This window comes from Homo sapiens, chromosome 19 (genome assembly GCF_000001405.40).
Source record: "Homo sapiens chromosome 19, GRCh38.p14 Primary Assembly".
Lineage (NCBI taxonomy): Eukaryota > Metazoa > Chordata > Mammalia > Primates > Hominidae > Homo > Homo sapiens.
Window position 1 is genome coordinate 2,930,649 of NC_000019.10, and position 24,511 is coordinate 2,955,159.

The 24,511-nt window shown below is 49.0% G+C and overlaps 1 protein-coding gene across 2 annotated transcripts, besides 4 other annotated features; it reads right to left on the reverse strand.

Moving 5' to 3' along the window:
* Nucleotides 1–2,569: 2,569 nt before the first annotated feature.
* ZNF77 (zinc finger protein 77) lies at nucleotides 2,570–14,323 on the reverse strand. 2 transcript variants are annotated; one of them, NM_021217.3, is made up of 4 exons: nucleotides 14,190–14,323; nucleotides 8,633–8,759; nucleotides 5,876–6,056; nucleotides 2,570–4,167 (listed from the first exon to the last, which is right to left on the reverse strand). In NM_021217.3, exons 1-4 carry the CDS (start codon nucleotides 14,190–14,192, stop codon nucleotides 2,841–2,843), a joined length of 1,638 nt encoding a protein of 545 aa, NP_067040.1. In that variant the 5' UTR covers nucleotides 14,193–14,323; the 3' UTR covers nucleotides 2,570–2,840. The 2 variants fall into 2 exon arrangements, with proteins under 2 accessions (NP_067040.1, NP_001413479.1); NM_001426550.1 differs by lacking the exon at nucleotides 8,633–8,759.
* Nucleotides 14,019–14,098: a silencer, noted in NCBI's record as "silent region_9817". NCBI's record gives its function as "represses an Ori minimal core promoter by ATAC-STARR-seq in GM12878 lymphoblastoid cells {active_cell/tissue: GM12878}" and the evidence as "EXISTENCE:reporter gene assay evidence [ECO:0000049][PMID:35858748]".
* Nucleotides 14,239–14,488: a silencer, noted in NCBI's record as "silent region_9818". NCBI's record gives its function as "represses an Ori minimal core promoter by ATAC-STARR-seq in GM12878 lymphoblastoid cells {active_cell/tissue: GM12878}" and the evidence as "EXISTENCE:reporter gene assay evidence [ECO:0000049][PMID:35858748]".
* Nucleotides 14,559–14,718: an enhancer, noted in NCBI's record as "active region_13722". NCBI's record gives its function as "activates an Ori minimal core promoter by ATAC-STARR-seq in GM12878 lymphoblastoid cells {active_cell/tissue: GM12878}" and the evidence as "EXISTENCE:reporter gene assay evidence [ECO:0000049][PMID:35858748]".
* Nucleotides 19,927–19,996: an enhancer, noted in NCBI's record as "active region_13723". NCBI's record gives its function as "activates an Ori minimal core promoter by ATAC-STARR-seq in GM12878 lymphoblastoid cells {active_cell/tissue: GM12878}" and the evidence as "EXISTENCE:reporter gene assay evidence [ECO:0000049][PMID:35858748]".

Consider the following 24,511-nt stretch of genomic DNA (forward strand, 5'->3'; position numbering starts at 1 on the left):
TAGTGAGCTGAGATCATGCCATTGCACTCCAGCCTGGGTAACAAGAGTGAAAATCATCTCAAGGAAAAAAAGAAAAAGAAAATGGAGGCTCAGTGGTCACTGCCGCCACTCAGCATCAGCAATGCAACGAATGCATTCTTGGCTGCAACATTAAAACTGCCAGGGTGGAGTGAGGAAACAGGTTACGATTAAGGAACAAGACGCTTACTACAGAAATCATGTAAATATGAGAAGAGTTGGAGATAAAGGGGTTCACAGGAAGAAAGGAGATCACTAAATGCAGTAGCCTGGAATGGCCTGATGAAAACCAGAGGGATGGTGAAATCCAAGGATCTCTGTGTACCTGAATCCTAAAGAGGGGACGGTGGTGGGGATGCTTGTGGAACAGTCTATGGAGTGTGCTAAGAGGAAACTAAAGTCAAATGTCATGTTGGCTTTGGGGGCTGTTCTAGACTAGCAGAGCCAGAAGTCAGAAAAATGTATTGCAATTTAGGTCCGTAAGGTTACCACGTGTTTGTTTCCGGGTAGTCTATTAGAACTGAGAATAGGCAGGGTGCGGTGGCTCACACCTGTAATCCCAGCACTTTGGGAGGCCAAGGAGAGTGGATCACGAGGTCAGGAGATCGAGACCATCCTGGCTAACACAGTGAAACCCCGTCTCTACTGAAAAAAAAAAAAATACAAAAAATTAGCTGGGCATGGTGGCAGGTGCCTGTAGTCCCAGCTACTTGGGAGGCTGAGGCAGGAGAATGGCGTGAACCCGGGAGGTGGAGCTTGCAGTGAGCCAAGATCGCACCACTGCACTCCAGCTGGGGGAGAGCGTGAGACTCCATCTCAAAAAAAAAAAAAAAAAAAAAAAGAACTGAGAATAATGCCTTCTTCGCTTCTACTTTTCAAAACTCATGTGCCTTCATCTTCTCATGAACATTAACTCACAACCATAAACAGAAGGGAGTCTTGGATATATAGTTTCCAACCTTATTAGGGCTGACAGTACAATCAAGTAGAACAAGCTATACACTAACTTTCATCTTCATGTCAAAAGGTCTTTCTTCTTAATGCAGTTTGTCCAATTTCCAACCAAGATCAAGGACAGTGAACAAGAAAATAGGGCCAGGCGTGGTGGCTCATGCCTGTAATTCAGAATATGACCAGAAACCAGTTGAGAATGATGTCTGTCAAGAGTCTTCTATAAGGACTAATGTATCTGAGTTACACACAAGTGGTATCCACAAGGAACAAACAAATGTGGAAGACACATTTTTTTTTTTTTTGAGATGGAGTCTTGCTCTGTCACCCAGGCTGAAGTGCAGTGGCGCAATCTCTGCTCACTGCAAGCTCCGTCTCCCGGGTTCACACCATTCTCCTGCCTCAGCCTCCAGGGTAGCTGGGACTACAGGCGCCTGCCACCACGCCCAGCTAATTTTTTTGTATTTTTAGTAGAGACAAGGTTTCACTGTGTTAGCCAGGATGGTCTCAATCTCCTGACCTCGTGATTCGCCCGCCTTGGCCTCCCAAAGTGCTGGGATTACAGGCATGAGACACCGCACCCAGCTGGAAGACACATCTTTAAATAATAAAGACTGAAGGACACTGGGCATGGAGACTCATGCCTGTAATCCCAGCACTTTAGGAGGCCAAGGCGAGAGGACTGCTTGAGCCCAGGAGTTCGAGCCTAGCTTGGGCAACATAGCAAGACACTACCTCTATAAAATAAAACTTTTAATTAAAAAAAAAATGACTGAAGGGAAAGGCAGAGTGACAGCAAATTCCAGTACCTGCAATAGTGGACTGGAAAAGAAATAACAGTCTCATGATCACACACTGGAAACATAATGGCAAGTGGGAATGAGGCCAGGCATGGTGGCTCACACTTGTAATCCCAGCACTTTGGGAGCCTAAGGCGGGGAGATCCCCTGATGTCAGGAGTTCGAGACCAGCCTGGTCAACATGGCAAAACCCCCATATCTACTAAAAATACAAAAATTAGCTGGACATGATGGCACGTGCTTGTAGTCCCAGCTACTTGGGAGGCTGAGGCAGGAGAATTGCTTGAACCAGGGAGGTGGAGGTTGCTGTGAGCCAAGATCGTGCCTCTGCACTCCAGCCTGGGCAACACAGCAAGACTCCATCTCAAAAAAAAAAAATGGCCAGGCGCTGTGGCTCACGCCTATAATCCCAGCACTTTGGGAGGCCGAGGCGGGCGGATCACGAGGTCAGGAGATCAAGACCATCCTGGCTAACACGGTGAAACCCCGTCTCTACTGAAAAATAGAAAAAATTAGCCGGGCTATTCGGGAGGCTGAGGCAGGAGAATGGCATGAACCTGGGAGGCGGAGCTTGCAGTGAGCCGAGATGGCACCACTGCACTCCAGCCTGGGCAGCAGAGCAAGACTCTGTCTCAAAAAAAAAAAAAAAAAAAAAAACAAGAAAGTAGGAATCAAAAACGTTTCATCTAAACTCACACCAACTTGTGCATCCCTGGGTCCAAAAGACATTTCAATGGAAATGAGACAGATTTTATATAACTACAATTATTTAAAGTCCTAAATTACAAAATATACATAGCTGAAAGCGTACAAAACAGGATATTTATTAAATGTTTATATCACAAACATACACTAGAAATTAATACAAAAGGAATCACTATTAAGGCTGAGGCATGTAAAGGCAATACCATATTAATCATAATTAAGAGATTTCTCTCCTACTCTGAATTTTTAGGTACAAAATAAGTGCTATACCAGGTTTTCCTACATGCTCTACATAAATAACGTTTCTCACATTTACAACAAGGTTTTACGGTTGAACACTCTCCCAGGTCCACTGTATTCGTAGATTCACGCTCCAGCATGTGTTCTCACATGTGCTTGAAGCGATGCGAGATACCTGAAGGTTTTCCCACACTGCTTGCATTCATACGGTCTCTCTCCAGTGTGCGTTCTCACGTGCACACGAAGGGACGAGGAACAACTGTAGGCTTTCCCACATTCAGTACATTCGTAGGGTTTGACCCCACTGTGTGATCTCACATGCTTTTGAAAGTACTGAGCGTGGCTGAAGGCTTTCCCACATTGATTACATTCGTACGGTTTCTCTCCGCTGTGGGTTCGCACATGCTCTCGAAGGGAGGAGTGACAGCTGAAGGCTTTCCCACAATGCTTACACTCAAAGGGCTTCTCTCCAGTATGCGTCCTCACGTGGATTCGAAGGGAGGAGGAAAAACTGTAGGCTTTCCCACACTCTTTACATTGATAGGGCTTCACCCCGCTGTGTGTTTTCACATGTCTTCTAAAGTAAGTGGGACATCCGAAGGCCTTCCCACACTGCTTGCACACATAGGGCTTCTCTCCGGTGTGCATTCTCATGTGTGCTCGCAGAGAGGAGGGGTACCTGAAGGCTTTGCCGCATTCCTTACATTCATAGGGTTTCTCTCCACTGTGCGTTCTCCCATGTTCTCGAAGAGACGAGTAACAAGTGAACGCTTTTCCGCAATGTTTACACTGACAGGGTTTCTCTCCAGTGTGCGTCCTCACGTGATCTCTAAAGGAGGAGTAACAGCTGAATGATTTTCCACAATGCTTACATTCATACGGTTTCTCTCCAGTGTGTGTTCTGACATGTTCTCGAAAGTATGAGGGACAGCTGAAGGCTTTCCCACACTCCTTACACTCATAGGGTTTCTCTCCTGTGTGAGTTCTTACGTGCCGTGTAAGGTAGGAGTAATACATAAAGGTCTTCCCACATACTTTACATGCATGGGTTTTCTGCCCATGATGACTATTCACATGTCCCCTGAAAGATGAGGGACAAATGAAAGCTTTTCCACATTTCTGACATTCATAAGACTTTTTACTGCTGAGACTTTTCACGTATGTCACAGATGCTGTCCTTGAGTCCTGGCAATTACAGGGTTTCTCTACAGTCTGCGTTTTCATAGGAGGGCTTTGGCAGGAGAGGCAGCTGCAGGCTTGCCCACATTCCTTACACGGTCTCTGTCCAGTGTGAGATCTCTGCCGATTCTCGAAGGCTTTGCCACACTTAGTGCACTCAGAGGGTTTAGCTTCGGTAGGGTAACTCTTGTGCACAAGAAGGTTCGCAGTCTGGCTCAAGGTCTCTCCGCATTGATGACCTTCATTACTTTCACAGAGTCTCCCCAGCTGACTTCTGTTCAAAATGGGAAGCAAGCTACTAGTCATGAATGACTATAAGTGATTAATTTATTAATGGTTTTTAGTGATTATTTTGATTACATTATTTGCCAATTTCACTGAATGGTTCTATTTTCAGCACTGTCTGCCTGGTTTCTATGGAGAACAAGCTTAATGCTCTAGCTGAAGGCTCAACTGCAGCCATAAATTTCACGGTGTTTCTTTTCTTCTTTTTTTGAGATGGAGTCTCGCTCTGTCACCCAGGCTGGAGTGCAGTGGCGCCATCTCGGCTCACTGCAAGCTCCACCTCCCAGGTTCATGCCATTCTCCTGCCTCAGCCTCCCAAGTGGCTGGGATTACAGGCGCCTGCCACCACGCCTGGCTAATTTTTTTGTATTTTAGTAGAGATGAGGTTTCACCGTGTTAGCCAGGATGGTCTTGATCTCCTGACCTCGTGATCCGCCTGCCTCGGCCTCCCAAAGTGCTGGGATTACAGGTGTGAGCCACCACACCCAGCCTTTTTTTTTTTTTTTTTGAGATGGAGTTTCACTCTTGTTGCCCAGGCTGGAGTGCAATGGCATGATCTCAGCTCACCGCAACCTCCACCTCCCAGGTTCAAGCGATACTCCTGCCTCAGCCTCCCAAGTGGCTGGGATTACAGGCGTGCACCACTACACCTGGCTAATTCTTTTTCGTATTTTTTTTTTTTTCAGTAGAGATGGGGTTTCTCCATGTTGGTCAGGCTGGTCTCGAACTCCCGACCTCAGGTGATCCACCTGCCTCAGCCTCCCAAAGTGCTGGGATTACAGGCGTGAGCCACTGCGCCCAGCCCACGGTGTTTCTTATAGATGAAGTTTCCTGATATTGTTTCCAACTGTTTCAGACACGTGACATTGACATCACATTTATAAAAATACTCTCTTAGGAAAAGTCTCAGCCAGGGACGGTGAATCACACTTGTAATCCCAGCACTTTGGGAGGTTGAGATGGGTGGACTGCTTGAGTCCAGGAGTTTGATACCAGCCTGGGCAACACAGTGAAACTCCGTCTCTACAAAAACACAAAAATTAGCCAGGTGCAGTGGTGTGTGCCTATAGTCCCAGCTACTTGGGAGGATGAGGTGGGAGGATTGCTTGAGCCCAGGAGGCAAAGGTTGCAGTGAGCCAAGATCCGTGCCACTGCACTTCAGCCTGGTTGACAGAGTGAGACCCCCATCTCAAAAATAAATAAATAAATAAAATAAAAATAAAATAAAATAAATAAAAGTAATTATTAAAATATATTTTTAAAAAGAGAAAATAAAGAAAAAGAAAAAAAATGTCTCTGTGGGTCTGAAATTGTGTAGTTGGTTTATACTTTTTTTTTGAGATGGAGCTTTGCTCTTGTTGCCCAGGCTGGAGTGCAATGGTGCGATCTCAGCTCACTGCAACCTCCGCCTCCTGGGTTCAAGCGATTCTCCTTCCTCAGCCTCCTGAGTAGATGGGATTACAGGCATGAGCCACCACGCCCAGCTAATGTTTTGTATTTTTAGTAGAGATGGGGTTTCTCCGTGTTGGCCAAGCTGGTTTCGAACTACTAACCTCAGGTGATCCACCCGCCTCGGCCTCCCAAAGTGCTGGGATTACAGGCGCGAGCCCCTGTGCCCAGCCGATACTTTTCTTTGAATTGCAAGTTAGTTTGATGCTCTGCGGAGAGGCCCATCCCTCCGGTTGAGCGCCACTCACCTCAGATGCCTCTGTGGGATTTGGTGCTGATCTCCAGTGTTATCAAATCTCCAATTTTCTCCAAAAATAGACCAGGAATCACTTCCTGTGAACTTTACAATCTCTTCATCATTGGATATTCCATTCCCAAAAACGTCCCTCTGAGAACTTGATCCACTGGTTCTAACATAAATGTAACAATCTGCAACAATCAATTACACAATTTCTTAGGAGAAATATGTTGGGATAAAGGAAATAGACCACATACGGATTTCTTTTCATATAGTAATCCAAAAATGTACCGTTTATAAGGAAGAATAGACATGCTATCAAAGTGAGACTCTGAGGACCTCATCTACTTGAGAATTTGGCAATAATAAAAAGCAGATGAGCCGGGTGCAGTGGCTCATGCCTGTAATCTCAAAGCACTGCGGGGCCAAGGTAGAAGAATTGCTTGAGCCCAGGAGTTCAAGACAAGCCTGGGCAACATAGGAAAATAAGGAGACCTCATCTCTAAACAACAATAAAAAATTTAAATTAGCCAGGCGTGGTGTTGTGTGCCTATAATCCCAGCTCCTTGGGAGGCCAAGGAGGGAGGATCACTTGAGCCCAGGAGGTCAAAGCTGCAGTGGGCCATGATTGCACCACGGCACTGCAGCCTGTGTGACAGAGTGAGACCCTGTCTCAAAAAAAGAATAGTGCTGGATGCGGTGGCTCACGCCTGTAATCCCTGCACTTTGGGAGGCCGAAGCGGGTGGATCACCTGAGGTCAGGAGTTCGAAACCAGCCTGACCAACATGGTTAAACCCCATCTCCACTAAAAATACAAAAAATCAGCCGGGCATAGTGGCACGTGCCTGTAATCCCAGCTACTCGGGAGGCTGAGGCAGAAGAATCACTTGTACCTGGGAGGTGGGGGTTGCATTGAGCCAAGATCGCACCATTGCACTCCAGCCTGGGCAATGGGCAGTAAGAGTGAAACTGTGTCTCAAAAAAAAAAAAAGAAGAGATAAACGTGGCAACCCATTTACTAAGAAACAGAATAGTTCCAAACAGATGGAGACTGATGTTTAGTAAAATATTATCAGAAAAGCAAAGTTTGCACATGCACAAATGCTCCTCGTATACGAGGAAATCCAGAGGCTTTCCCCTGCGAAGGAGGACAGTGCAGGGGGGTGCAGGAGAAGCCACACAGGGCAGCTGAGAGAGGACACACCTCCTCCTCCTCAGAGAAGGGTTTGTGTTTCTTTTTTTTGTTTTGTTTTGTTTTTTGAGACAGAGTCTCACACTGTCACCAAGACTGGAGTGCAGTGGCACTTTGTTGGCTCACTGCAACCTCCGTGTCCTGGGTTCAAGCAATTCTCCTGCCTCAGCCTCCCGAGTAGCTGGGATTACAGGCACCTGCCACCACGCCCGACTACTTTTTATATTTTTAGTACACATGGGGTTTCACCACGTTGGCCAGGCTGGTCTTGAACTCCTGACCTTAGGTGAACCACCCACCTAGGCCTTCCAAAGTGCTGGGATTACAGGCGTGAGCCACTGCGTGCGGCCAGGGGTTTGTACTTCTAACCCACGATGCCAAACGGAACCTTCTTATCCAGAACCCACTCCTCCCGAGGGCTGCTGCTCTCCTGGTGCTCACAGGCACAGGGCCCTTACAGGAGTCCTTCCTCCACTATGCCCGGCTGCCCTCAGGTGTGAGCACCACCCATTCCTGGAGAATCACATGATGAGGAAGGATTGTGAAGGGCAACAAATGTTCCCCTGAGACAGGCCAACACTTTGACTTCCCAGACCACCGATGATGTCCGAGTGTGAGTTTTAATTGCAGCAAAATTACCATGTCAAACGTGGATTACTCACAGTGTAACTTGGATTTACTTTATCACAGTGTACTTTGATTTTCAAAGTACAGTTACTCTGTGTGGTGAACCACAAAGCTGCTTTTGTTGCCCCAACGTGACACAGAATACTCTACTCAGACTTATAAAATGTGGGCAGCCAAGGACTGGTGATCAAGAAAACCTAAATATCAATCATACACAAAACTTTGTTTTCATGGAGAAGCATTTTGACTCCCATGTTCCATGGGTGTTGGGATCATGTCTATCTCTTTTCCAACATATTTCAATTTTTGAGCTCAAATAAAAAGAAAAACAAGGTATCTTAGGCCGGGCGCGGTGGCTCACGCCTGTAATCCCAGCACTTTGGGAGGCCAAGGCGGGCGGATCACGAGGTCAGGAGATCGAGACCATCCTGGCTAACACGGTGAAACCCCATCTCTACTAAAGCTACAAAAAATTAGCCAGGCGTGGTGGTGGGCACCTGTAGTCCCAGCTATTCAGGAGGCTGAGGCAGGAGAATGGCATGAACCCGGGAGGCGGAGCTTGCAGTGAGCCGAGATCGTGCCACTGCACTCCAGCTTGGGCGAGAGAGCAAGACTCCGTCTCAAAAAAATAAAAAAAAAAAAAAAGAAAACCAAGGTCTCTTTGCTCTCCAGGACGCAGTGAGGGAATGATGCCACCCTTACCCAAGGAGGCAGTGAGGGAATGACGCCATCCTTACCCAAGGAGGCAGTGAGGGAATGACGCCACCCTTACCCAAGGAGGCAGTGAGGGAATGACGCCACCCTTACCCAAGGAGGCAGTGAGGGAATGACGCCACCCTTACCCAAGGAGGCAGTGAGGGAATGACGCCACCCTTACCCAAGGAGGCAGTGAGGGAATGACGCCACCCTTACCCAAGGAGGCAGTGAGGGAATGACACCACCCTTACCCAAGGAGGCAAGGTTCCTGCAGGTCTCCAGCATCACATCTCTGTAGAGGCTCCTCTGAGCATGATCCAGCAATGCCCACTCTTCTGGGGTGAAGTTCACAGCCACTTCCTCAAAGATCACGCAGTCCTAAAACATTCCACACATCCCACTTCAGCAAAGGCACCGCCTCCCCCATGTGCGCAGGAAGAGGGGTGAGGCTGACAGCCTGGGGAACTGAGCCACACAGAGCTTATGTCCTTGTGAGAGGTGACCAACAGTATGAAAAAGTGCAGTACACTCAATGCCGTGAGTACCTTCCCAACAGGGAGCAAAGCGCAATGACGGCCTCTGCCAGAGACTTACAAAGAATTACTGAGAAACGGCAGGTATGAGGGTGGGGAAACACTGAAAAATCTGAAAACATCATTAAGCTAAGGCTGGTGGCTCATGCCTGCAATCCCAGTACTTTGAGAGGCTCAGGTGCGAGGATTGCTTAGGGCCAGGAGTTGGCGACCAGCCTGGGCTGCATAGTGAGATCCCGTCTCTACAAAAAAAATAAAATACAATAAATTAACCAGCCATGGTGGTACACACCTGTAGTCCCGGCTACTTAGGAGGGTGAGGAGGGACAATCGCTTGAGCTCGGGGGTTCAAGGCTGCAGTGAACTATGACTGTGCCACTGCACTCCTGTCTGGGCCACAGAGTGAGACCCAATCTCAAAAAAATAAAATAAATCAATCATTCAGGTAACATGGAAATTGACATGACTTGCTCAAATTTTATTATTTCTTATTCAGCTATAATATCAGCACTTTGGGAGGCCAAGGTGAGAAGATCGCTTGAGGCCAGGAGTTCAAGACGAGCCTGGGTGACAGAGCAAAGACCCTGTCTCTTAAAAAAAAAAATTAAATTAAATTAAATTTTAAAAATACAACTATGAAGAAAAGCAAGGAGATTATTTCCTTATAATTTAGGATATTGGCCAGGTGTGGTGGTTCACGCCTGTAGTTCCAACACTTTGGGAGGCCAAGACAGGCAGATCACTTGAGTTCAGGAGTTCGAGATCACCCTGGACAACACAGTGAAACCCTGTCTCTACCAAAAAAAAAAAGGCTAAAAGAATTTAGGATAGGCCGGGCGTGGTGGCTCACGCCTATAATCCTAGCATTTTGGGAGGCTAAGGTGGGCGGATCACAAGGTTAAGAGATCAAGACCATCCTGGCCAACATGGTGAAACCCCATCTCTACTAAAAATACAAAAATTAGCTGGGCGTGGTGGCACACGCCTGTAGTCTCAGCTACTCAGGAGGCTGAGGCAGGAGAATCACTTGAACCCAGGAGGCAGAGGTTGCAGTGAGCCGAGATGGCGCCATTGCACTCCAGTCTAGCAACAGAGTGAGTCTCCATCACAAAAAAGAAAAAAAAAAAAAAAAAAAGAATGTAGAATACTGGCCTGATCTGGAGGGAGAAGCCTACCATTACACATCATTTCAAATTGGATGCCAAGGCTTCTTCGAAGACATGGCCTGGCTGTCGTTACACACTGTTCACTTGAGGACGTTTCCACTGACTCTGTAATTGTCTTACAAAAGTTCTACATGTGTTCAATTTTATAATAAAATGCTATCAGCAGCTGGGCTTGGTGGCTCAGGCCTATACTCCCAGCACTTTGGGAGACTGAGGTGGGAGGACTGTTTGAGCCCAGAAGCTTGGGACCAGCCTGAGCAATATGGTGAAACCCTGTCTCTACAAAAAATACAAAAATTAGCCAGGCATGGTGGGGCACACCTGGAGTCCCAGCTACTCAGGAGGCTGAGGTGGGAGGATCATTTGAGCCCAGGAGGTTGAGGCTGTAGTGAGCCACGATGTCACCACTGCACTCCAGCGTGGGTGACAGAGAGACGCCCTACCTCAAAAAAAAAAAAAAAAAAAAAGGCTGGGTGAGGTGGCTCACACCTGTAATCTCAGCACTTTGGGAGGCCAAGGCGGGAGGATCACTTGAGGTCAGGAGTTCATGAGCAGCCTGGCCAACATGGTGAAACCGCACCGCTACTAAAAATACAAAAATTAGCCAGGTGTGGTGGTGCATGCCTGTAATCCCAGCTACTTGGGAGGCTGAGGCAGGAAAATCACTTAAACCCAGAGGCAGAGGTTGCAGTGAGCTGAGATCAAGCCACTGCACTCTAGCCTGGGTGACAGAGTGAGACTGTCTCAAAAAAAAAATAAAAATAAGTAAGAACACAGCCAAATCACCACTTTCAGCCCGTGTTAAAGGACAAAGGGGTGAGTGGTGGATTCTAGAAGATCTAGAAGTTTTTCTGTCCCACAAAGGGTCCCATGCAGAAAACAGGTATCAGTTAATGATTAGGGTCTCATGCAGAAAACAGGTATCAGTTAATGATTATCCTCATGATAAATTGTTCGTCAGTCCCCTAATCGGAATTGCCGCTTCTCTGTACTGTGGGTCGTATATTACAGAATGCGCATCTGTCTGATGCGCAGATACTAACAGGAGACGGAGCAGGGTCCCCCACTGTCACAAACTCTGCACCCTGCCTAAGTCAGTGCTAGTTTCATGAATGTTTTCAATCCACACCTTCGCCCACCTCACAATATGGCATGGGGCTGTGTGTGCGCCTTTCCCCTCATCCTAATGGAAGATGCAACGTCTTCCGAGTTTGAGAGTTTTCCACAGCAGCCTTCTCGGGCTAAGCCATGGTATAACACCAGGCAGTGGCAGAAGGCAAAGAACACATCCAAGACAATGACTGCCCTCACTAAGGACAAGAAAAAAAAGGCAAAAAGCATTTATTCTTTTTTTTTTTTTTGAGACAGGGTCTTGCTCCGTCTCCCAGGCTGGAGTGCAGTGAAACAATCTCAGCTCGCTGCAACCTCCGCCTCCCCGGTTCAAGCGATTCTCCTGCCTCAGACTCCCAAGTAGCTGGGATTGCAGGCACTTGCCATCACACCTGGCTAATTTTGATATTTTTAGTAGAGACGGGGTTTCCCCATGTCAATCAGGGTGGTCTTGAATTCCTGACCTTGTGATCCGCCCACCTCAGCCACTCAAAGTGCTAGGATTACAGGTGTGAGCCACCGCGCCCGGCTCTTTTTTTTTTTTTTTTTTTTTCCAGACAGGGTCTAGCTCTGTTGCCCAGGCTGGAGTGGAGTGGTACAGCCTCAAACTCGTGGGCTCAAGCGATTCTCCCCCCTCAGCCTCTCAAGTGGCTGGGACCACAGGTGCGCATCCCCATGCCCGGCCTCATTATTTTACATTTACTAAAACCTGGGGCTGAAATAGGAACAATACCAATGCTGAGCTGGACACAGACGAGGCTGTTCGCAGCTGTCAGGTGACAATGTTGAACTGACTTCAGCTCTGTGCTCCTGGAAACCAGCAAAGGTGAAACCCCGTCCTGCTGTGCTCTGGAATTGGGACAGCCAGGACCCTCCCTTCCCATACGACTTAGATAAGATTCACGCAGATGACAAGGCCAGATTCAGACCCTCCGAAATCCCATTCTTTGTCATCAGAAATGATTCACTAGGTTAGGTGTGCCCAGGCTGGAGTGCAGTGGTGTGATCATGGCTCACTGCAACCTCTGCCTCCCGAGTTCAAGCAATTCTCCCTGCCTCAGCCTTCCAAGTAGCTGGGATTACAGGCACACACTACCACGCCCGGCTAATTTTTGTATTTTTTAGTAGAGATGGGATTTCACCATGTTGGCCAGGCTGGTCTTGAACTCCTGACCTCAGGTGATCCACCTGCCTCAGCCTCCCAAAGTGCTGGGAGTACAGGCATGAGCCACCGCGCCAGGCCTAGCCAACTCTTCAGATGCCTGCATACTTGACGGTCACAGAGCTCTCCCCCTGCAGCTGTCTCCCTGTGGCTACAGCATTAGTCCCGCAGCTCAATCATCAACTGTCCCCATGCCCCTGTTGCTTATACCCCCACCCCACTGCAATAGAACCTCAAGCCTCTGGCATTACTCTCCTGCCTCTAATCCAACTAACCCTTCTCCCTATTGCAACAGCCCCTTCTCCCCCTCCCCCAATACCTCGCAATAATCCTTTTTCATAAAAGTTTCCTTACTACGTTTGGGTTTACACAAGCTTGACCACATGTTCGCAGCCTCCCGTTTCTTCCCCAAACTTTACTCAGCCTTCTGTCCTCTCCGCAGGCCCCTGAACTTTGGCCCCCCCGAGTCTGAGCAAGCAGTAAGTGTGGAGTCCCCTGTCACCTCCCCTGAGCTAGCTGACCACGAGGAGGTACATTTACTGTCAACCTCCTTTCTGCTTGTCCCCTAAAACGTTCCTCCAAACCTTTTCTTGTGTATGAAAGTAAAGCCTTTTCCTGGTTGATTTTGAGACCTGGCAGGTTTCGGAGGCTGGGGCTTATCCCTATTTTTCTCTCTCCTTCTCTAGCCAGGATTTTTTTTTTTTTTTTTTTTTTTGGTTTTTGTTTTTGAGACGGAGTCTTTCTCTGTCGCCAGGCTGGAGTGCAGCGGCGCCATGTCGGCTCACTGCAAGCTCCACCTCCCAGGTTCACGCCATTCTCCTGTCTCAGCCTCCCTGGTAGCTGGGATTGCAGGCGCCCGCCACCACGCCGGGCTAATTTTTGTATTTTTAGTAGAGACGGGATTTCGCCATGTTGTCCAGGCTGGTCTGGAACTCCTGACCTCAGGTGATCCGCCCGCCTCGGCCTCCCAAAGTGCTGGGATTACAGGCGTGAGCCACCGCGCCCGGCCCAGGATTTTATTATTTGACAGGCTCCAGGACAGGGCACCACCTCCTCCTTGGCAGACCTTCCCAAACTGACCACCAAGCCCCTGACGGCTCCTGCCCTCTCCTCCCACTCTCCCCGATCCCCTGACTGCCTCTACTGTCCCCCAACACATCCCTCGAGCCCGACTCCCTTTACTGTCCCCCCAAACTTCCCTCAAGCCCCTGATCGCCTCTACTGCCCCCCTTAAAGTGCCCCTGAGCCCCTGACTGCTTCTGCTGTCCCCTCGAGCTGCCCCCAAACTCCCGACTGCAGCTACTGTCCCCCTAAACTGCCTTCGAGCCCCTGATCACCTGTCCCCCAAAACTGCCCCTTCAAACCCATGACCGCCTCTACGGCCCCCTCAAACTGTCCCCGAGTTCCTGACCGCTGCTATTGGCCCCCTAATCTGCCCTTGAGCCTGACTCCCTTCCACTGAACCCCCAAACTGCCGCCGAGCCCCTGACCGTGTCTGTTCCCGCAAACTGCCCCTGTGCCCCTTAAACCTCTACTGTCCACTTAAATTGCCTCAAGCCCCTGACCACCTCTGCTGTCCCCACAAGCTCTCCCCAAACTCCTGACCTGTACTGTCCCCAGAAACTACCCCTCGAGCCCCTGACCGCTTTTGCTGTCACCCCAGACTGCCCCCAGCCCTACCCCTCGGCCGCTGTGACCACGTCCCCGGGGCCCAGGCGCTCGTCGTGCGCCGCCCCGCGCGTCCCTCAGCTTTCTCCGGCTGCGAACTCGGGCGGAAGCCGGTTCCTGCCGCCCCACCTCGCCCTGGGCCCGGGCTCGGCTCCCGCCCGGCACTCACCATGTCCCGCCCGCTCCTGGGCTCTCCAGGGTTAGCGCCCCGCGGTCCAGCGACCGGCGCAGGTGAGCACGACAGGACACCTGAGCCGCTCGGGGTAGGCGGGGAAGCGCGCAAGGCAGAGGGGAACTCGGCTTACCGTCCTCGGGGTCTGATTGGACAGATCTCGGGAAGTGGAGACTCTGATTGGACAGTGCTGTCGACTCCGCACCCCTGATTGGAGAATTCTCCAGTCCGTCCCCCTAGCGCCCTTGATTGGGCAGGGCTCCGCTTCGGATTAACGTCTCTGATTGGACAGTTCCCTAGGCCCCGCCCCTGCCTGTCCTGATTGGATAATTCTCTCCTCAGTGACGGGCTCGTCGAGAACACGCGTGGCTGACCCTCTAGCCGGGCAGCCGCGGATCTGGGAGAACTCACTCCAGTCCAGGGAGGGCGCGGCGTCCTCCTCCCTGACTGCACGGCAACTCCAGACTCAGTTTCCCCTCGGAGCGGCCCCTCGTGCGGGGAGGAGAGGAAGGGCACGGAGTCCCATGGGGCGGAGTCCTGCGTGGGGGCGGGACCCGCGTGCGTGACGTCACCGTGCTGTCCCGCGTGGGCGCGGACGCCTGGGGTCCAGAGACCTGGAGATCTGGAGACCAGACGACGAGGCCCCAGGAGGCCGGACCCCACCAGGCGCTCCCTGTGTTCTTAAAACTCTCGGCCGGGCGCGGTGGTTCACGCCGGTAATCCCAGCACCGTGAGAGGCGGAGACCGGCGGATCATCAGAGGTCAGGAGTTCAAGTCCAGCCTGACCAAAATGGCGAAAACCACTTCTCTCCTAAAAATACAAAAATTAGCTGGGCACGGTGGCGGGCGCCTGTAATCCCAGCTACTCCGGAGGCTGAGGCAGGAGAATCGCTTGAACCCAGGAGGCGGAGATTGCAGTGAGCCAAGATCAGGACACTGCACTCCAGCCTGGGCAACAAGAGCGAAACTGAGTCTCAAAAAAAAAAAAAGCAGCCCTCCCACAAACAGAACCACGTAAGGTCATGAAGAGAGAGGTCTCACATTTATATGCTTAATAACGAAAAAGACTCTACAAAAACCACAGGCTTAAACAAAAAATACTTTTACAGGGACACTCAGACTGGTGTGACCCTTGTTACTGATCTTTGTAGACAAGGATAATTATTTCTGAAAAATGATGTAATCCTCATTTAAAATTTTTTTTTTCCTTTATAAACCTTTGTCCCAGTCTGGGCAACATGGCAAAACCCCATATATACAAAAAATACAAAAATTAGCTGGGAATAAAGGAGTGTGCGCCTATGGTCCCAACGACTTGATAGGCTGAAGCAGGAGGATCGCTCGAGCCCGTGGGGATTGAGGCTGCAGTGAGCTGTGATCTCACCATTGTACTCCAGCCTGGGCAACAGAGACCCCCGTCTCAAAAAAATGAAAACCAAAAACAACCTTTGTCTTCCTTTACCTCCCTGAATAAGCACATAGTTTGCTATGCCGCGCATATTCCCACTGCAATGAACTGTTACCACCGTTTTTAGACAGCCTGTTATTTAGGTCGACACAGTAAAAACATGAATTACGACAATTATGTTTGTATGTAAAATGGCAAGCGATATAGAGTTTATACTTCTACTCTGTCTCAAGCTGGAAAGTCTTTTCGGAGATGAGCAGTCGCGTTCCAGGCTTTAGGAATTGCGGCTCAACTGAATAAAAGTATTCAGAATTTTCACGTCGAGTTCAAATTTATTTAAACTTCTATGATTATTTTCTCAAATGAGTTAAAATAAGAATTCAATTACCATAGGAACAGTACAGCCTTTTACTTTAAGAAATTCTCTAGGGCCGGGCGCAGTGGCTCACGCCTATAATCCCAGCACTTTGGGAGGCTGAGGCAGGTGGATCACCTGAGGTCAAGAGTTCGAGACCAGCCTGGCCAACATGGCAAAACCCTTGTCTCTACTAAAAATATAAAAATTAGCCGGGCGTGGTGGCACATGCCTGTAATCCCAACTACTTGGGAGGCTGAGGCAGGAGAATCACTAGAGCCCGGGAGGCGGGGATTGCAGACCCAAGATCGCACCACTGCACTCCGCCTGGGTGACAGAGCGAGACTCCATCTCAAAACAAAAACAAACAAAAAAACGCCATTTGAACGACACGTTTTGTTTCCCCCCGCTTTATTATTTTTAAAAAGTACCATGGTGTACACATTGCATTACAATTGTTTTTGTGGCTCAATGAAAAAAATAAATCCTCCACCTCTCTTCATCTTAATAGGTGACTTCCTTACTCCTTACAGATGTAAGATGATGTAAGCTGATGTAACAAGGTCTCTCTAAATAGACAGTGGACTTGTTTCCAATCTTTTGCTACTCAAAGCTTGTCTTATGTTGCACCACCATGCCTGGCAGATTTTTGTATTTTTTGGTAGAGATGGGGTTTCACCATGCTGGCCAAGTTGGTCTGGAACTCCTGACCTCAAGTGATCCGCTTGCCTCAGCCTTCATCAATGGATATTAATGAAGCTTAGGATACTCACATTGTGTCAAAGATAAGAGGCAAGGAAACTACAAAGAAATTGGAAGTGATAGGAAACAGTGGAATAACTGTCAGAGAGGAAGCAGTGGGAACAAAAGACAGGAAAGAAAAACATGCCTATTATCAGAGTCCCTGAAGAAGTAAACAGTAGCACAGCTTTTCACCTTACATCATTAAGAAACACATAAATAGGCCGGGCGCGGTGGCTCACGCCTGTAATCCCAGCACTTTGGGATGCCAAGGTGGGCAGATCACCTGAGGTCCAAAGTCCGAGACCACCCTGACAAACATGGAGAAACCCCATCTCTACTAAAAATACAAAAATGAGCTGGACATGGTGGCAAATGCCTGGAACCCCCGCTAATCGGGAGGCTGAGGCAGGAGAATCACTTGAACCCAGGAGGTGGAGGTTGCAGTGAGCCGAGATCATGCCACTGCACTCCAGCCTGGGCAACAAGATCAAAACTCTGTCTCAAAAAAAAAAAAAAAAAAAGGAAAAGAAACACATAAATACTATAATAAATGTAGCAACGTACCTTGCAGAAGATCCAAAGGTTGCTTGTGGAATTGGGCAAGGGAATCTAAATTTCCAGAGTTAGTATGCAGTGGTGGAGAGAGGGTTGTCGGAAATCTAATGTTAAGTTTTAAAGCAGAGGAAACAGTGTGACTTGGTATTTGAGGTGTGTGCGCGCATTTTCTGTTTTCCTACCAGACTCTTCAGTTATGTGCAATTTCTTCTGTTCACTTAGTGTTTCTTAGGGTTGAAACTGAACATAAACAAATATGAAATTCGTGTTATACTCACATTACTCAACATATCAGGTAATTTGTGAAGACAGAGATGTTTCCTGATCAATTGTTCTAGCCGACTGACAGCCAATATCTACATAGAATTATTTCAAAGTCGCAGGGTGCGGTGGCTCACGTCTGTAATCCCAGCACTTTGGGAGGCCGAGTTGGGCGGATCACAAGGTCAGGAGATCAAGACCATCCTGGCTAACATGGTGAAACCCCGTCTCTACTAAAAATACAAAAAATCAGCTGGGCGTGGTGGCGAGTGCCTGTAGTCCCAGCTACTCGGAAGGCTGAGGCAGGAGAATGGCGTGAACCCAGGAGGCGGAGCTTGCGTTGAGCTGAGATCACGCCATTGTACTCTATCCTGGGCAACAGAGCAAAACTCTGTCTCAAAAAAAAAAAAAAAAAAAGAATTATTTCAAAGTCAATTGAGTGGCTGGGGGCAGTGGCTTACGCCTGTAATCCCAGCACTTTGGGAGGCCGAGGCAGGCGGGTCACGAGGTCAGGAGTTCAAGAGTAGCCTGGCCAAGATGGTGAAACCCCATCTCTACTAAAAATACAAAAATTAGCTGGGTGTGGTGGCGGGCACCTGTAGTCCCAGCTACTCGGGAGGGTGAGGCAGGAGAATCACTTGAACCCGGGAGGTGGAGGCTGCAGTGAGCCGAGATCACACCACTGCACTCCAGCCTGGGCGACAGCTCGAGACTCCGTCTCAAAAAAAAAAAAAAAAGTAAATTGAGGACACTGTAACACTCTGCTCTTAAACACCTCCCAAATGCTATTTTAGAGAAAAATCTGTATTTTTATCTAAAAGTCCACACTTCATATTCGCACTTTAGATAGTTAACAATCATTCCTTTATACCTAGCCCATAATCGTATTTCCTTCAATTATACCCCAAATGGTCTTTACAGCTGGTCCTCCGAAGATCCAACCCCAAACCAGGTATTGCATCTTCTTTTATTTTATAGTATTATATGGTCATGTTGAATTTTTCTTTTGAGGTGTAGTCTATGAATTTTTGTGTATGTATAGCGTTAACGGGTGAATTGCGTCCCCACAAATCCGTAAGGTGAAGGCCTAACCCACAGTACCTCAGAAGGTATTTGAAGATAGGCCTTTAAAGAGGCAATTCGATTAAAATGAGATTAAGGTGGGCTCAAATCCAAAAGACTGGCGTGCTATTCATTGCAGGGTGTTGAGCAGCACCCTAGACCTCCTCATCCACTGGATGCCAGTCGCCCCAACCCCATCCCCGGTTGTGACAACCAAGTCTGCAGACATTGTCCAGTGTCCCCTGGGCGTAAAATTTCTCCTCCCCTCTTTGATAATCACTGCTTTAGACTCTATTTGGTCTTAGAGTCTTTTCTCTGAAGTCCATCATTTTATCCGCCGTAACCCTGCTGTCTTCACTTAAGGGGTCCAAGACGTTTACAGGAGGGTGATAATGGTGATGATGAGCTGCCAATAATAATCCACACACAGCACTATTTGACAAATGCAGGTAATGTTATGTATTTTACAGACCTGGAAACTGAGGCACTTAGGGGCTTGGCAACTTGCCTAATATCACCCGAGAGCTGATTAAGGCTTGGGGCCAGGACTGGGACCCCAGGATGAAGCCCAGCTGAGCAGAAAACCTCTGTGCACAGGATGCAGCAATCAAGATAATAAAAATCAACTCCGACTGAGAAAGTATCTGCCTACACATTCATCAGGCTGGGAGGACAGACCCAGATGGTATCAGTTGGAAAATTAACAGAAAACAGTATTTTTGCCAAGGACACCTTTTTCTGAGCCATCAATGTCTTCTAGCTCGCTAAATGCCTTCCTTGCCCATTACAATCATACACAGTGATTGACATTTTATCAGTAAGAATAAACTTCCCTTTTCCGGCCGGAGGGTCTGATTTTCTTGGACACAGAGAATCCGTCTCCATTTCCAACCCAGGTGCAGGGCTCTGATAAGCGGTTTCCGGACATAACAATCTACAGCGGTCTTATCTTGTGGTTCCCAAGGAAACAGGTCCCGGCTGCACTTCGCAGCCCAGACCCGAGGGTGACCCCTTTACAAGCTTGCTCTTTGCCAAATGGAAACCACGCAGTATTTACATTTCACCTAAACCCCACCCTTCCCTCCAAATCCGATGGGTTACTCAGGCCTAGGATCCTCAGGCCTAGGGGGTCAAAACGCCCCGCGTCCCCAACCAAGACCCCTGAAGTCTAGCGGGGTTCCACTGGCCTCCGGAGCCTCCTCCCTGGGGCGCGGTGCCAGGACTTCGCCATTAAACGAGCCCGCCCCCTGCACTTTGAACTCTGCCCCCATCCTTTGACCCAAACCCCCCTACGCCCCGGCATCGGAGTCCCCTTGCTTGGCCTCTGCCACGAAGATACGGGGCCAGGTCCAGCAGTACAAGGAGGAGAAACCGCTCTCACGGGAGGCGCTGCGGCCACTGAGGGAGACGGCCGCCGCGGGTCACAGACGGATGCTTCCGTTTCCGGTTCCGGGGCGGCTGGGAGCTGAAAAGTGGGCTAGTAATGAGCTTGGGATTGGTGGAGCCTCAAAGATAGGCGGGACGACCTACGTCGTCCAATCGCTGAGCAGGAAAAGCTAGTTTCCGCCGTCTGGGAGATAATTGGCATTGTTGGCAGATCCGCCCCTCGAGGGCAAGTCTCGGGACAGAATCGCGCTGTGGGCGTGGCTTGTACTGGATCCTCCCCGGGGCGTGGCTAAAACAAGACCGAGGTCCCGGGACGAGGTTGGGGGCGTGGTCTTTCGCGCAATCCTCCAACGCCCAATTACCCTGATAAACAATAAACGCTAAAATAAGTAATAAATGCTCATTTCCTCCAGCCAACACATTCCTCGTGATAACATACTCCTGCACAAAGATATTCCCATTGTTGGGATTTTTCTTCCTTGAATGTCTGTTATTTCTTCCAGAAATAAGGTCATTTTTATGCATTTACATGTGGCTTTTCTTATTAATGAGTGCGTTGTGATGTTCCCTTCTGGCCACTAGATGGCCACGTAGCTCACATTTTCAAATTCGCGGATATTTTGTTTTAGTTGCTTTAGACATAGGTGTCCAATCTTTTGGCTTCACTGGGACACATTGGAATAATTGTCTTGGGCCACACATAAAATACAGGAACACTAACTATAGCTGATGAGCTAAAACAAGACAAAAATTGCAAAATAATCTCATAATGTTTTTTTTTTCTTTTTTTTTTTTTTTTTTTGAGACGGAGTCTCGCTCTGTCGCCCAGGCTGGAGTGCAGTGGCGCGATCTCGGCTCACTGCAAGCTCCGCCTCCCGGGTTCAAGCCATTCTCCTGCCTCAGCCTCCCGAGTAGCTGGGATTACAGGCGCCCGCCACCAAGCCCGGCTAATTTTTTGTATTTTTAGTAGAGACGGGGTTTCACCGTGTTAGCCAGGATGGTCTCGATCTCCTGACCTCGTGATCCGACTGCCTCGGCCTCCCAAGTGCTGGGATTACAGGCGTAAGCCACCACTCCCAGCCAATAATCTCATAATGTTTTAAGAAAGTTTACGAATTTGTGTTGGGTGCATTCAAAGCCATCCTGGGCTTCATCCGGCCTGCAGGCCCTGAGTTGGAGAACTTAGCTTTAGAGTTTAGACACAGGAAAAATGCAGGGGTCTTTGCCTTCCATTGTGAGGCATCATAACTAAGATTAGGAGGCCATCCTGACTTGTCCCCTTGTGTGACACCCAGCGGGCTCCGCATCCCTTGCATTCCCATGCCTGAGCACCTATCTCTTTTACAAGGTAAGCAGTCCTGAAGGATACCAGCAGACCGCCAGATGGGTTACAAATTCCTCATATCCGGTACTGCCAGCGAAAGAGAACAAAAGTCCCTTATTCCTGAATCGGCTTCATCAGCTTCCCCAATCTCCAGCCAATCAACACCAAAAAGCCCAAGAAGCTATTAGCTACAAATTCCTGCCTAAGGCCGGGTGTGGTGGCTCACACCTGTAATCCCAGCACTTTGGGAGGCTGAGGCGGGTGGATCCATCTAAGGTCGGAAGTTCAAGACCAGCCTGACCAACACGGTGAAACCCTGTCTCTACTAAAAATACAAAACTTAGCTGGGCTTGGTGGCACATGCCTGTAATCCCAGCTACTTGGGAGGCTGAGGCAGGAGAATCGCTTGAACCCAGGAGGTGGAGTTGCCGTGAGCCGAGATCGTGCCATTGCACTCCAGCCTGGGCAACAAGAGTGAAACTCCATCTCAAAAAAAAAAAAAAAAAAATTCCTGCCTTAAAAGGGGCCAGGGACTTCTTCCAGGCCCCACATGTGCAGCTAGAGTTAAGGTTTAGCTAATAGTAAACTTTTCCTCATTTTATTTTATTTTTTTGAGATGGAATCCCACTCTGTTGCCAACGCTGGAGTACAGTGGAACAATCAAGACTCACTGCAGCCTCCAAGTCCTGGGTCCAAGCGATTCTCCTGCCTCAAACTCCTAAGTAGCTGGGACTACCAGCACTTGCCAACACACCTGCCTAATTTTTGTATTTTTAGTAGAGACGGGGTTTCACCACGTTGGCCAGGCTGGTCTCAAACACCTGACCTCAGGTGATCTGCCCGCCTCAGCCTCCCAAAGTGTCGGGATTACTTTGGGATTACTGTGGCGTGAGCCACAGCGCCGGGCCAACATTTTCCTCATTTTAATAGTTAAAAAAAAAAAACCTGAGGCTGAGGCAGGAGAAATGCTTGAGCCCGGGAGGCGGAGGTTGCTGTGAGCCGAGATCGTGCCACTGCACTCCATCCTGTGTGACAGAGTAAGACTCTCGAAAACAAAAACAAAAACGAAAACAAAACCCACCCCTAGGTGGAGATTTTGTATGCTATTGATACATGCAATGTGTGTTAGAGCAGGCAGATGCTGAGTCCAACCGTAGGTCCACCTTTGCACACCTGACCTCACCGGTATTTTCTGACTATGTACGTACAGCCCCCAAAAAGGAATTTATCTTAAGGCACTAGCTGCTGCCTCTCCCTGTGAATAGTCTGCTCTGCCTCTTAGAGAGTACTTTCATTTTGCAATAAATTTCTTTGCTTACTCACACTTTGGACTTGCTCTCAAATTATTTGTGCAGTGAAGCCAAGAACCTGCCCAGCCCACCAGCAACAGTTGTAGCTGCCGGACAGGTTCTCCCTGCTCACTGCACAAACAAAATCGATTCACAAAGACCGTGGCATTGCAGTAAAAAGAGTTTAGTTGGCCTGAGGCTGGCTATGCCATGCAGGAAACGGAGTCATTACTCAAACCAAGCTCCCTGAAGGCTCTGTCGCCCAGGATGGAGTGTAGTGACATGATCTCAGCTCACTGCAACCTCCGCCTCCCAAGTTCAGGTGATTCTCCTGCCTCAGCCTCCTGAGTAGCTGGGATTAGAGGCACCCGCCACCACGCCCGGCTAATTTTTGTACTTTTAGTAGAGATGGGTTTTTGCCACATTGGCCAAGCTGGTCTTGAACTCCTGACTTCAAGGGATCCACCAGCCTTGGCCTCCCAAAGTGCTGGGATTACAGACGTGAGCCACTGCACCCACTCAGGGGTTTTTTGAAGATAGTTTGGTGGTCAGGAGGCTAGGGTCTAGGTGCTGCTGGCTAGTTGGGGATGGGATCATAGGGATGTGGAACACGGCCCTCATGCCGTGAGTCCACTTCTGGGTGGAGGCCACAGGATGGGCCAGGGGTGTCCATCTGGTTGTCAGAAATGCAAAAGCCTGGCCAGGCGCGGTGGCTCACACTTGTAATCCCAGCACTTTGGGAGGCCGAGGCAGGAGGATCACTTGAGGCCAGGAGTTCGAGAGCAGCCTGGCCAACATGGTAAAACTCCGTCTCCACTAAAAATACAAAAAAAATAGCTGGGCATGGTCGTGCATGCCTGTAATCCCAGCTACTCGGGAGGCTGTGGCAGGAGAATCGCTTGAACCCGGGGGGCAGAGGTTGCAGTGAGCCGAGATCACGTCACTGCACTCCATCCTGTGGGCAACAGAGCGAGACTCCGGCTCAAACAAACAAACAAACAAAAAAACCAGAGCGACTCCATCTTGAATAGGGGCTGGGTAAAATGAGGCTGAGACCTGCTGGGCCACATTCCCAGGAGGTCAGGCATTCTTACTCACAGGAGGAGATAGGAGGTTGGCAGGACAGTATCACAGGACACAGGTCACGAAGACCCTGCTGTTAGAACAGAACATGGTAAAGAAGCCGCCAAATCTCACCAAAACCAAGATGGCGAAGAAAGTGACCTCTGGTTGTCCTCATTGCTCATTATATGCTAATTATAATGTATTAGCATGCTAAGAGACACTCTCACCAGTGCCATGACCGTTCACAAATGCCATGGCAATGTCCGGAAGTTACCTTATATGGTCTGAAAAGGGGAGGAGGCTGAGGCGGGCGGATCACCTGAGGTCGGGAGTTCGAGACCAGCCTGATCAACACGGAGAAACCCCGTCTCTACTAAAAATGCAAAATTAGCCGGGCGTGATGGCACATGCCTGTAATCCCAGCTACTCGGGAGGCTGAGGCAGCAGAATCACTTGAACCTGGGAGGCGGAGGTTGCAGTGAGCCAAGATCGCACCATTGCACTCCAGCCCAGGCAACAAGAGTGAAACTCTATCTCAAAAAAAAAAAAAAAAAAAAAAAAAAAAAGACGTGTGTGTGTGCACACAGAAATGTGTGCCTATTGTCTAATAAATACTCATAAAGCATCTTCTATGTCCCAGACTCTGTTTTCTGCACTGGGAAACACAGCAGTAAACATCACACATATCCTTCTCTATATCCTTTAGATTCCAATAGGGAAGGACAGAAAGTTAACCATGTTGATAAATAGCATGTTAATAGATATATCCCAGCCGGGCACGGTGGGTCATGCCTGTAATCCCAGCACTTTGGGAGGCCAAGGAGGGCAGATCACCTAAGGTCAGGAGTTCGAAACCAGCCTGGCCAACAT